The following is a 14,763-nucleotide window of genomic DNA, read 5'->3' as shown; positions in this document are numbered from 1 at the left end:
TTTTGTTCTACTTGATGAGGTTGAAAGTTCTAAGCTTCTTTTTTAATTTTTTTTTTTTTTTTTTTTTTTTTGAGATGGGGGTTTCACCATGTTGCTCAGGATGGTCTTGAACTCCTGGCTTCAAGTGATTCTCTCGCCTTCCCAAAGTGCTGGCATTACACAGCACTTTGCCCAGCCAGTGTTCTAAACTTCTAATCATGGCTTGATCTTTCTTACGACCAGCCCATTAAGAGTTGCCTCATTAGAACAACAGACATTCCTATCACCCAGAAAATTCCAAGGTTATTTAGGAGCCCTGTGTCAGGAACTGCAGTCGAAGTTCAAATATTAGAACAGTTACTCTCCAATCATCCCTGTCAAGCAGGGTTTTAGGTGCTCTGTGTCAGGAACTTGGGGCAAAGACCAACATATATACATATATATATATATATATATATATATATATATATATATATACACACACACACACACACACACATATATATATACACATATACACACACACACACACACACACACATATATATATATGTTATTACTTCACACGATAAGCTAAGAAAATGTGTTTTGAATTTCTAAAGCAGATTTCTATATTTCTATATCATTAAATAGCATAGGCAGATAAGTAATAAAAGCAGAAAGACTCAAATACAGAAGACAATGCAATGACATATTCTGGAACTTTAAAATATCTGCATGTCATTAAAATTTAAAAGATTGCATATTGTAAAAGGAAATAATGATAATTTAATAATAAAATTTAAAATCAAAACAATAACATGTAATTACCCTGGTAGATTATCTTCACTTTAAAAGAGGAAACATGTAGAAAAGTAAACTTTATGACCATTTGCACCTTCTGATGATAGAGCATGCATTTTTTAGTTATCTCTACCCGACTTTGATTATCAAAGTATATTCTCTTCCTGTCAAGGTTGTACCGTGAATTCACAGAGAAACAGCCAACACCCCTAATTAAATTTAGAAAAATTATGGGCTCAATATATGTCAAAACAAATTAAAATGACATAACCATGGTCAGAGACAATATAAAATGTCCGTTCACCCAAAACACAGAGAAATAGACGGAAGTAGAAGGCACAGACCTGAATTCCAGGCTGGGGGAAAAAAAAGGAGGCAAATGTGTTTCAGAAATGGCAAGATGGAGAACCAGGCTCACTGTATAAGGCTAAAAAAATGGCATATTCTCTATTTCTGGGAAAGGAGGTTAAATACCCACAATGATTGCATAGGTCTACATTTGGCTTGAGCTGTTGTTGCAGTGGGGGGAGCCACATGACCAGGACCGTGAGCAAGACAAGCACTGACCATCAAAATGGATCAATACTGCCTCCACAGAATGACAGCCCTGGATTATCAATATAATTGCAGATTTTGAAATGAAAAACTTGCTTTATCAGGTAGAGTAAAACATAATTTCAGACATGAAAGGTCATGATATTATGGGTTTAGAGGGAAGTAGATTTAAGAAGAAAAAGAAGGAAGGAGAAAAACGAAGAGAAGCAGCTCTTAAGATGAGCCTGCAGCCTAAATTTCACAACGTAACAGAAAAACTACAGTAATAAACAATAGCCCATAATTTCAATAAATGGGTGAATCCATCCAATTAATTAAGTCCAATGAGCAATTTGACAAAGACATAAAATAAATATGATGAAGAACTCAAAGGAATAAAAGTAGAAATAGACAAAAAGAATAACAATTTATGAAGCAGTGAGAAACAGACACATTCAAGATCTAAGAGAACTGAAAAGACCAAATAGAGGCATATAGATATAAATATACACACATTATATAGATATAGATATAAATATACACACATAATATATATATATATTGCTAATACGATGGAAAAAACAGGTAGTATGGACAAACAGAACGTAGAATTAACGACAAAAAGATATATGAAAATTAGAACATAAAAATGAATTTGAGAAATAAGGAACCTATTGAGATGTTCCAACAGATGTCTAGCAAAAGTTTCAGACAATGAGAGAACACAGAGTACAGAGACATTGTTCAAAAAAAAGAAGATATGTCTGACGATTTTTAAGAATTGAAGGAATATATAAATCCTTAAAAATAAAATAAATATCTAGTGTTGAAGAGGAAAGTAAAACACATCCAAAACAAGAAATTTTATATTTAAAATAAAGAATTACGGTGATAAAGCAAAAATAAAAATTACTCAGGAGATAAAACAGATGATCAACAGATAAATGGCATTGCACAATGGAACTTTTATCTGTAAAAATTTATTTCGGACATAAATCGGATTAATATTTTCAAAAAAATGAAGGAAAATAACCATCAATGCTGAATTCTAAACCTAGGTAAACTGTCACTTAAAATAAGAACACAGTAGAGATATTTTGGGGTAGAGAGACAATAATTTATATTGTATAGATTTTGTAAAAAAAAATTAAGATATAGACCTATCAGCATGAAAACAAAATAGCCTGAAGCTAAAAAGATAAGTCACAGAAAATACAATCTAAGTTTCTGAAAACATGCTGGAAAATGGGAATAAAATAGAAAACATTTTAAACAAGACACAATGGACTCAACAGTAAAGCTAGATAATAAAATAATTCATAGAAGACTTAGCATTGAGATTCACCTCTTTTGAGGAAGGGTAATATTAAAACACTAATTTACATTAGACTCAGGAAATTATGAAGATAAGTATGGTTGATAAAATATTGAAGTAATAACATAATATGAATAAAATTTATAATTTCCAAATTAGCACAAAAAATAATCTAAGAGAAGTTCAGAAAGAATTTGAAGAAAAAGATAAAATCATAATAAAGACTAAACATATTAGGCAATAGTTGACATGAGTTCAAATATATCAGTAATAACCAAAATTATATACAGATTTTAAGTCCCTTGTTAAAATGCACAAATTAAATATTATCTTTAAAAAACCTCAGGTATATGTTGCTTGCAAAAGATATACCTTAAACAAATAAGCAACAAAAGGACACGGGAAGTATAAAAATGTAAAGATGAAAAATAGTTTCATCATGCTTTCTTATAACATTCTGAATTTTTAAACTTTATTTCATTGGGCTTAACATAAAAGCATCATTTACATATGTTATATAAATATTACATATGTTATATATGTTATATAAATATTTTATGAAATGAATTTATGTCAATCAACAGTTTTTCAGTGACCTGTTCCAACAATTAACCACATTTTATTCTTACTGAACAAAATGAAAATATGTCTGGGCATGTATGCATTATCAGCCCAATCACAGTCAACATTGAACACTGTCATCATATCTTCCTTTACTTGTTTAATCATGGTTTCATTTAATTTTTTAAGCTTATTTACAGTGGCTACTTTAAAGGCTTTGTCTTTCAAATGTGAATTCTGTTTGCTTTCATCATTTTTGTTGCCTGCTTTTTAAAATCTATATGGGTCATATTTTCCTGTTTCTTTGCATGTCTAGTAATTTTTTGTTGGAAATTGGGCCATTTAGATCATATAGCTGGTTTTCATTATTCACAAATTCCTTATTTGTGAATTTACCTACTTGCTAAAATTTGACACCCCCTGCTCTCCCCCACCAAATCAATATTCACTGTGCTTTTGTGGTCTTTCATGGATAGGAGAAGGCAAGTGACATATTTTAGTCACCCAATGCACATGATCTCAATTGAGGTCAAACATGGCAATCTCATATTACAAACAAGTGTCTTTTCACAGTCCGTCAGAGCCACTTTTTTTGTGCTATTTCACTGTTTAAAATGATCCCCAAGCATAGTGCTAAAGTGCTGTCTTTTGTCCCAAGTGGGCTCTATGGAGAAAAGACGTGTGTTAGATAAGCTTTGTTCAGATGTGAGTAATAGTGCTGTTGGCTTTGAGTTTAATGTTAATGAATCAGGATTATATACTACATAAAGTTTCTTCAAACAGAAACATACAAATAACAAGGTTGCATTGATCCGTTGACAAAAATTTGGCTTGCTGGAACCTATGTCTATGTTTTCCCCAAGAGCAAATAGTTTAGGATTTATTAATTCAGTGTTTGTGGTAATTTATAGAACATAAGTGCCTTTAGTAATAAGAATTAACTGTATATTGCAGCAAGCCTGTGTATTGGTTTCCACCTTCCCCCACATCCAGAGTTTGTTATTGTTGTTTATTTGTCTACTTTAGTGACTGCCTGGATTATTTTGCTAACGACTCCTCCTACTGCCATACACACTCACCCCAACCCCAACGTTACTCTGCAGTGTGAAGCCTCTGATGCTGCTCACCAGGGGCCACAGTCTTGGGTTTGTGCACAGTCACCTGGGATGATGGTGGTATGGTGGGATTCTCTTTCTCTGGCTGTCTCTTTCTTAACCACACTCAAGTGTAAACTCCATTGATTGCTGGCTGATTAATCAATTGTTTTTAACAATGCCTTTAGACATAAAATAATTTAGTGACTCATCCAGCTTCTTTGAGGAGATAGTTCCTGAGTACAGTGTTTAAGATGTGTTATGACCAGAAGAAGTTATTTCCAACCTCTTTCCCTGTTCCTCTTTAAAAACTAGCAAACCTGACCTGGCGTGGTGGCTCGCACTTGTAATTTCAGCACTTTGGGAGGCTGAGGCAGGTGGATCACCCAAGGTCAGGAGTTGGAGACCAGCCTGGCCAACATGGTGAGCCCCCGTCTCTACTAAAAAATACAAAAATTAGCTGGGTGTGGTATCGGGAACCTGTAATCCCAGCTACTCAGGAGGCTGAGGCAGGAGAATCGCTTGAACCCGGGAGGCAGAGGATGTGGTGAGCCGAGATCGTGCCATTGCTCTCCAGCCTGGGCAATTACTCCGTCTCAAAAAAAAAACAAAAAACAAAAAACACCTAGCAGACTTACATCTGCAATGAGTTAATCTCCCAATTCCCTTTCAGCACAACTTTCACTATTTTTGAGAGTACCCCTAGGCTTGATTTTCTCCATGAACTGTGCTAAATTATGTCATTTCCTCTGGAGGCAGGATTAGGGCTCTCTTCTACAGTTTGCTTTCCCCCCAAATCTCTGAGCTACTGCCCTGGTGCTGGGGCAGGGATAATTATTCACTTTTTCTGGACAGACATTCCCACTTTAGGAGCTGAGTGTTTAGCAGATGGGCAGGGCAGCCGGCCCAAGTGTTTTCAGCTTGATTCTCTCGATGTGTCACTTACACCTGTAAAAGGAAAATAAATAAATAAAAAGGGGCATTGTTTGGGGGAACAGCAGCTAGGACTCCTCCTGTGGTTAAGCTAAGCATCCTCAGAAGAATGGCATGTTCATGCGTGGTTCTGTTTGCAGCATCATTCAGAGTTTGATTGCTTCTAGGCAAAAAGAGAGAAATTTTACAAGAAGGCCCCACATCACTAAGCTAAAGCGGAAAGTCAAGTTGGGAACTGCTTAGGGCAAACCTGCTTCCCATTCTATTCAGTCATCCCTCTGCTCACTGTGATAAAGGGCAAATCTGATTGCCTCCTTTGGAGAGGCTCATCAGAAATTCAAAAGAATGCAACTATTTGTCTCTTATCTACCTATGCCTGGAAGCCCGTTCCCCTCTTCAAGTTGTCCTGCCTTTGCTTCGAATTGTCCCACCTTTTTTGGGCCAAACCAATGTTCATCTTACATATATTGATTGATGTCTCATGTATCCCTGAAAGTATAAAACCAGACTGTATTCTGACCACCTCAGGCACATGTTGTCAGGACCTTCTGAGCTGTGTCATCAGCCTGCAACCTCAACGTTGGCAAAATAAACTTTCTAAATTAACTGAGACGTGTCTCAGACATCCAGGCTGCACACACCCCAGGAGCCAAGGCAGGAGAAATTAGGGTCCCACTATTCTCAGCAGTGCTGTTCTCAAGGTAGCTGGAGGTTGGGAAGGTGAAGGGAGACCCTACATCTAGGCCTCAATTGTGCAGATGTTAGCCTCAGAATGAGGCAGCTAGGGGCAAATGGAAAATGCTGATGTTCTGTCAAAGCGGCATCGATGCCTGGGGATATACCTAGGGTTTGTTGTCTTGCTCTAAGGAGAACAAAGATGCAAACACACACACACACACGAAGTGGGTTCAGGAGCAGAAAGTTTAATAGGCAAAAGAAGAGAGACCTTCCTTGTGCAGAGGAAGGGGATGCCCAAGTGGGTTTCAAGTTTGGGGTGAGATTTGGTTGATTTTATAGAGGGGCTTGAGGAGGCGGTGTTTGATTTACATAGGGTGTAGAGGATTGGTTTGATCAGGTGTGCCATTTACATAGCCTGCTAAGAGGCTGGCCATCCACCTTAATCTTTTATTATGCAAATAGGGCTTTTACTTGGCTATTGCCATGACACCTGCACACATTGTGACAAGGAAAAGGGAAGAAGCAATCGCCATGTTGGATATACCTGGCTTCTGGCATAGCTGCCAGAACTCACCTATGCAAGGTTTTAGCTTGCTTATCTATGCTTGCAGCTTGATGTTTCAGGCTACTTTTTGTTAGAAAAGAAATGGTTTGGGGGCTGCTTTTTATTAAAGGAAAATTCCACCAAGAACTCTTTTATCCTCACTAACTGCCTAAATAATTTCTTATTAAAACCTGTATCATTTCCCTCCTCAGGAGAAGCATCTCTGTTTTGGGGCATGTTGGACAACGACTATTTCAGGCTACTTCCTGTTAAAAAGGGGCATTGTTTGGGGGAACAGCAGCTAGGGCTCCTCCTGGGGTTGAGCTAAGGGTCCTCAGAAGAATGGCGTGTTCATGCGTGGTTCTGTTTATAGCATCATTTAGAGTTTGATTGCTTCTAGGCAAAAAGAGATAAATTTTACAAGAAGATTTAGAATATAGGGCTTGAACATGAGTATTAAGATTACTATTATTAGTGCAGGTACTACAGTCCATAACTATGACAGTGAAGTTTGATACCGGTTAACTATTTTAGTGGATTTTAACACTAGCTTGCTTCCACCAGATTTTACTGTATTTTACCAGAAGTGTTAATATATAAGTAATATTTTTCTTTGAGAAAATACATGTGTTTCCCTCCCAGATTCACCATTAGAAGATAATTTTTGGTCTAGGCCACTTTTTATAATTTGTAATTTGATTGGAAGAAATATTTTATTGGGTGGCTAAAGTAACTTCAGTGTTAATCTTGGCAATTTCTTTTCTTCAATTATTCATCCTTTCATGACTTTCACAGACCATCTTACAACATTCTTAAACTTTCTGACTTCTAAACATTCTTCCTTTAAACACTCAGTCATTTCCTTTTAGAACAAGAATTTACCATACAAGATCCTTCCTTATATAAAATCTCTTTTCTTTACAAACTTCTTTTCATAGCTAGAGTGCAACATATTACCAACCTTAATAAAAAGTCCTAGTAAGCTCAGTGACAATAAATCTTTCATGCTTACATCTTTTCTGTAACTATTACCCCTGCTATATGGATAGTAATTAAGCAAAACAACCTTGGCTAAATCTTTCCTGCAATTGTCAATCCTGTTATAAAGATGATAATTAAGCAGACTATTACAGCAATTAGAATTTTACAACCAGAATTCCACATTGCAGGTGTCATAGTGTATAGTTCTACTGCAAATCATAGAGTGAGTATATCAATTCCTGCAAGGGTGGTGTCATAGATAATTTCTATTTAAAATTTTACTTGCTAAGATATGGAATTTTCCTTTGACGGTCTACGAAGTTACAAATGCAATCCCATGAATGATTAAAAATTTCCTTGCAAATATATGTTAAAACAAAGTTCTAATATTTGCTGATGAGTTTTGATTGGAAAAGTCTAAATGACAAAAAGTACTTGGTGAGGTAAAGGTGGGACTCAGTAAGCTGAGTAACCCTCACTCAGTTACTTATCTTTTATGATTTTCAGCTTAAGATCTTCTATTTCTTCACATTGATATTTAGGACATTCCTCTGGGCTGTCAGAGGTGCTCCCTTAGCTCTCCAGGCTTTGACTTGAGTGCAATGTATCCAAGAGTTGATTCCTGTACACTTTTATTGCCAAGGGGGTTGAAAGAAGAACGGTGTAGGGCACTCCCCAGCTTAGGCTTAGGGAAGAAGAGAGAAAGAGGAGTGTTTATACTATTACCAAGTACCCTGGGTTAAATAACGGTGGTTCTATTTCTTGGGTTTGGGCTTTTGCTAATTGTTGTGTTAATTCCTGTTGCAAGTGAACCAGAGAGGTAATATGCTTAACCAACTTAGGGGCTTCCTGATCTAATAAGAAACCATCGGTAAGGAAGGCCATCTATACAGCATTTTGAAAGGTGTATTTCTTACCCATAGTAAGGCCATGGAAACAAGAGTGACCCAAGGAAGGTGAGTTTCCTGGGATAGTTTTCTGAGGAGTCTTTTGATAATATCATTTGTTTTCTTTACCTTTCCTGAGGACTCCAAGGGCAATGGAGATGACTGTATGCCTAAGCACTGTATGCCTAGTGCTTTTTGAGACCCGCTGTGTGACATCTGCCTTAAATGAGGGGCCACTGTCACTTTGAAGGTACTTAGGTAGGCCAAAGTGGGAAGTTATTTAATTAACTAATACTTTTATTATATCAGAGGCCTTTTCTCTACAGCATGGACATCTTTCTACCCAGTTGGTGAAAGTATCTACCCATACCAGGAGGTATTGCATGCCCTTTGCATGTGGCATGTGGGTGAAGTCTACCTGCCATTCCTCCACTGGATAGTTTTCTATCCTTTGTGTTTGAGGAGAAAAGAGCCATCTGTTTAGAGGATTATTTTTTAAGACAGACCTCACAGACATTTACAACCTGTTTGGCTGTTTTTAGTAAGTTTTCTTCTGTAAACAATCTCTGGGCACATTGGTAAGTTTTATGCTTTCCCAAGTGAAAAGCCTGGTGAAGGATTTTAAGGATTTTCCATTGGCCGGAGACTGACAAATGGTGTTTGCCAGTCGCTGACTGTAGCCATCCTGAAGGCTGGAAGCACACCCTCAAGAAGTGGTCCATTTTGTTTTTACAGGGGAGTGCTGAGGGTTAATTTCTTTGACAGAGCCTTCCCGGATTAAAGGGGATTGAAGTGTGTTGATGCCTTGAGACTTCCTTGCTTAGCTTCCTTGCTTAGCTTCCTTCCTTAGCTGACTGATCAGCTAACCTATTTCCTTCTGCTGCTTCATCTGTTCCATTTTGATGTCCCCTACAATGCATTACTGCTATTTCTTGTGGAAGGAAAACTGAGGATAATAACCTGTTAATTTCCTGGTGATATTTTATAGGAGATCCATTAATGATAAGAAAATGTCTTTCCGTTCAAATGGCAGCATGAGTGTGGAGAACTAAGAGAGCATACTTGGAGTCAGTGTAAATGTTAGCTACCTTTCACTTGCTTAATTTAAGTGTTGTTCCAGGAGTTATCAGTTCAGCTAATTGAGTGCTTGTGCCTGGAGAAGGAGACGCACTTTCAATGACATCAGTTACAGTGACTATTACATATCCTGCCTTATGAATTTCTTGCTTTACTGGCTGTTTGTTAGCCAAAGGTTCCCCTTAGAGGACAGTAATCCTGCACATTATGTGGAGTGTAAACAGTTATTCCTTAGGGTCAATTTGGAGGCTTATCTGACTAGTATAGCCACTGTGGCAACAGCTTGGAGGCATCTGTAAATAATAGGTCCCCCCAACTCCAACTAAGGAGTTGAGACAAATATTGGATTAGAGTGGAGTTTTTCCTGAGATGGCCCTTATGGTCAGGCTATGGAAAGTGGGGAGGTCTGGATTAGAGAGGAGAAGAGAGAGAGATTGGCTCTAGCGTTCCTTCCTTTAATTTTCAGAGTTACCCTAGGCTCCTGTGCTGTAATGACCGTTTGAGCTATTGGAGCCAGGGGTTTGAGCACTGGGACCCCTCAGTCCTACTGGACCATCTGTGAGACTGGTTCTGAACTCAGTGACCTCCATCTCCAGGGGGCAGTTTGATCCCCAGTGGTCTCTGCCACAGGCTGGACAGGGTTGAAGTGGCTTCTTTTTGCTGCCTGGATACTTTTTTTTAAAGTGCCCTGACTTGCCACACTGATAGCAATTAGGAGATGCACCTCAGGGATCCTGGACTTTGCAAGCCTGCAAAGTAGCTACTAGAGCCTCTGTCCTTCTCCTGAGTTTCCTCTCTTTCTCTTGGGCATCCTCCTCGCCCCTATTATAAACTACCAAAGTGGCCACCTTCAGAAGGTTCTCCAAGGTGCTATCTGTTACTACAGCCTGCTTCTGTAATTTTTTTCTAATACTGGGAGCTGTCTGTGTAATAAATTGTCCTTTAGAATGAGCTGTCCCTCGACTGAATCAGGGGATGAGGAAGTGTATTTTATTAGTGCCTCTCAGCCTTTTCATTAAGGCTGTGGGATTCTCATCTGACTTTTTTTTTCTTTCATGGACAGTTTAGAGTAATTAAGATGTTTGGCCCTCTTTCTTCGTAGGCCCTCTAATATGCATATTAAAAAGTGTTTCCTTTTCTATTCATCTGCACAGCTATTGGGGTTCCAATCAGGGTTGTCAAGAGGAACTACTTCCCTTCCTATCTGAAATGGTTTTTCTATTATTTCTTTGTCTTCCCTATATCCTTTCTTCTTTTTTAGTTTATTATAGGAAACACATTTCTCATCTCCAAAATTCTCTGCTGCCTGTAGAGCTGCCTGCTTTTCAATTGCAGTTAGGGTTTGGCTTAGGAGCAGCATAACATCCCTCCATGTGAAGTTAAACACCTGAATTAAATTTTGGAAAGCTTCTATATACCTGTAGGGATTGTCAGAAAATCGACCTAAGTCTTCCTTTATTTGCCTAAGGTCCTGTAATGAGAAAAGAACTTGAGGGAGCCCTAAATATGGGGGATTCTCAGATGGTTCATCCCAGAAATTGCTTTTCTAATTCTTTATAGGCCTGCCTGATATGACTACTAAAAGAGCTGGGTTGGTTTTACAATGCTTGCAAAGGTCACAACATCGTGCAAAAGAAAATGAGTCACTTTTCTCTTCAAAGTCCTCGGGTTGAAGAAGTTCCAGTGTTTCAGAATGCACTCCAGAGGGGTGCAAGCTGAAGTTGGTCTGTTACCAATCTAGAAAGATAAGTGAGAAGAAAGGGCTTTCCTTTAGTCTCCCTCCTTTCAGTGTGACCTAGGGTGAAAGGGAAGACAGTAGGAGTATCCCCCATACTGTTTTCCCTCCTGGGTCCTAACAAGGGACCCTAGCCCCTTGTTAGATGTGCCGTCTATGGTTGTAGGCATGACCCTCCAAGCAACGGAACTAGAGAAACCAGGTGATGGGATTAGTCATGTGTACCCATGCAGCCCTAGTTCTCCTCTTGTGATTCCCCTTTGAATTCCTAGATTCGTGTGATCTGTGTGCATCCCCAAAAGATGGATCAGGAGTGTGCTAGATTGAACTCTGTTTCCCACTATTATAGCCCATGCTTAAGCATTTACCCTTAGAGAATTGTTCTGGTTAACTTCTGGACTTTAAATCCTCTTACTATTAAGTACTGTTTTAACTGGGGCAAAATGGGTGCCTTAAAAGAACGTAGGGACCTAATGGCAGTTTTCCTGATGATGGGACAGTATCAGAACTTAAATTTGGCTTTGGAAGAATTTTACTCCTAATTGTTGAAAGCAGAGTTTTCCTGTTCACAGAAGAGGCATACAGCCTGGTCTCTAGTATAGGATCACAAAAAGGGAGGAGAATTGGGAAGCTAGAGTGTCAGGGCAAAGCGCAGACCGAAATCCTGCCTCATGGAGAGGATTTCTATTCCACGAGGTGGTGGTGTTGGCTTAGAAATACCATGTGCTCTGCCAGGCACATTGGCTTATGCCTGTAATCCTAGTACTTTGGGAGGCCAAGGTAGGCAGCTCACTTGAGGTCAGGAGTTCAAGACCCGCCTGGCCAACATGGTGAAACCCCACCTCTACTCGAAATACAAAAATTAGCTGGGCATGGTGGCACACACCTGTAGTCCTGGCTACTAGGGAGGCTGAGGCAGAAGAACAGCTTGAACTTGGGAGGCAGAGGTTGCAGTGAGCCAAGATCATGCCACTGCACTCCAGCCTGGGTGACAGCACGAGACTCCAACTCAAAAAAAAAAAAAAAGAAAAAAGAAAAAAAAAAAGAAATACCATATGCCCATATGCTCAGTAGAGGAAGAGTAGAGAGAGAAGTGATTATTAGGAGAGATGCTTTGCTCCTAGAGAATCACAGAAAATAGATAGGATTCCCAGTTACTACAGCATTTGCTAATTTTTCCTAACAGTACTAGTTCCCTGAACTGTAATAATTCCCATACATTGCATACACAGAGAGGATAGGAGGATAGGAGACATGGCAATCATGAATAGGAAAGGAAGAAATTTTGTGACAGGATAACTGGAGACCCTTTTGCCAACACCCGGTCAGGTGGTCAAAGGTTGGGGTTAGTCCAGAAGCCTTTGGATAACACCAGGGTGTAGAACTCTTTCGTTGCTTTAGCACCTTTCCCAGCCTCACATAATGGCTAGGTCCTCCGTGAAAGGAAACTGTTTTGAAGCATGGCCAACATGCCTAGTGACCCATAGGTATTGGGGGGTTCTCCATGTTCTCCCCAGCAAGCCTTACATCTGAGACTTTAAGAATGGAAGCTGCCTTTTCAGCATTTAAATGGCTGTTGGATGCCTCTTACTGATTTGATTTAATTTTAATTGGAGGCCAAGAGCCTCAAAATGAAAAGACAGTTGAAAGTTAAGGTTCACTCCTATACTCACTGCTCGCTCTGATGATTATAACTTCCATTCTGATTCAGATACTGGATGAGCCCCCAAAATGAAGTGGCATCATTGTCTGGGGAAATACCTGAGGTTCATTCTCTCGCATTAAGGAAAACAAAGATGTGGACACACATACACAGACACACACACACAAACACACACACACAAAGTGAGTTTAAGAGTGGAAAGTTTAACAGGCAAAAGAGGAGAGAGCTTCCTCATGCAGAAGGAGGTGCCCATGTGAGTTTTGTGTTTGGGGCAAGATATGGTTGATTGTATAGACAGGCTTGAGGAGGTGGTGTTTGATTTACATAAAGCTTAATGTATTGGTTTGACCAGGTGTGCCATTTACATAGCCCACGAAGAGGCTGTCCATTTCAGCTTAATCTTTTCTTATGCAAATGGGGCTTTTACCTGGCCAGCACCATGGCAACTGCACACATGGTGACAAGGAAAAGGGAAGAGGGATTCACCATGTTAGATATACCTGGCTTCTGGCATAGATGCCAGCATTCACCTATGCAAAATTCTGGCTTGCTTATCTGTGCCTGCGCTTGATGTTTCAAGCTACTTTTTGTTAGAAAAGAAATGATCTGGTGGCTGCTTTTTATTAAAGGAAAATTCCACTGAGAACTCTTTTAAATGTCTAAATACTTTCTTTTTTGAGACGGAGTCTCATTCTGTCACCAGGCTGGAATGCAGTGGTGCCAACTTGTTTCACTGCAACCTCTGCCTTCTGGGTTCAAGCGATTCTTCTGCCTCAGCCTCCCAAGTAGCTGGGACTTCAGGTGCATGCACCATGCCCAGCTAATTTTTGTATTTTCAGCAGAGATGGGGTTTCACCATGTTGGCCAGAATGGTCTTGATCTCTTGACCTAATGATCTGCCTGCCTCAGCCTCCCAAAGTGCTGGGACTACAGGCATAAGCCACTGCACCTGGCCAGTAATTTCTTATTAACTCCTATATAACTGTCCCTCTCAGGAAGATTATCCTCTGACTGGGATTTGGGTGGAGAGTGTACCCTGTTGCTTTGGCTGTAGCAGATGATATGGAGTTTCTCTCTCAATGACCTGGGAAGTTGAAGGGATGCTGTGGGTTTTTGGTTGAAATAACACAGAGTTTTGCATTTCTTAACAACTGTTTGCATATTTTCTTGAATAAATGTTTTTTTCACTTGCTGTATGCCCTTAGGGCCATTTTCAGAAAGTTTAAGTGGTCACTATTTTAAGTAATATTTACTGATTTCACTGGGGCAGGTGTCATCATAGGATCTAACACTCCCATGCTGGATGTGGAACTCCTTGTTTATGTTCTGTAATATTTTTAGCAATACCACATATTCATATGCAATGCACTCAAAATCTATAGTCAATTCTTCTGTTTCTGCTACTTGTGAAAGGATAAGTAAGTTGTGCATTATAAGACATCTGTGATGAACAATCATAAGATAGAGATTAATTTATTCATAAACTACTAAAATGTATGCATGCAAGTTGCTAGGTGCCACTGCCCTTGATTATTATGGTTGCTATAAATTCCAGGTGCATTCATTTGCTAGGGCTGATGTAACAATGTACTACAGATGGGGTGGCTTCAACAACAGATATTTATTTTCTTACATTTCTGGTCACTGGAAGCCTAGGCATGGACAAACAAGGATGTAAGGGACGAACCTGCTCCAGGTCTGTCTCCTTGGCTTGTAGATGGCTGTCTTCTCTCTGGGTCTTCACATCATCTTCCTTCTGTGTATGTTTGCGTCCAAATTTCTTTTTTCATAAGAATACAAGTCATTAAATTAGGGCTCACCTTAATGGCCTTGCTTAATTTACTTACCTCTTTAAAGAGTCTGTCTCCAAAAAGTGTTACATTCTGAGGTACTAAGGATTAGGATTTCAGCATATAAATTTTGGAGAATACAGTAGAGCCTATAAAACTAAGTAATAAGGTTATATTAAGCTACTATTCAGTTTACTTTCAGATATTTT

General features: G+C 39.1%; 1 annotated feature.

The window, feature by feature from the left end:
• Window positions 6,059-6,560: an enhancer, noted in NCBI's record as "NANOG hESC enhancer chr3:86673295-86673796 (GRCh37/hg19 assembly coordinates)". NCBI's record gives its function as "activates a minimal SCP1, AML or CMV promoter by ChIP-STARR-seq in naive H9 embryonic stem cells {active_cell/tissue: H9 hESC(naive)}" and the evidence as "EXISTENCE:reporter gene assay evidence [ECO:0000049][PMID:30033119]".

The sequence above is a fragment of the Homo sapiens genome, chromosome 3 (genome assembly GCF_000001405.40).
Source record: "Homo sapiens chromosome 3, GRCh38.p14 Primary Assembly".
Classification (NCBI taxonomy): Eukaryota; Metazoa; Chordata; class Mammalia; order Primates; family Hominidae; genus Homo; species Homo sapiens.
The sequence above is the reverse complement of the archived record's forward strand: the minus strand, read 5'-3'. Positions and strand labels throughout refer to the sequence as shown.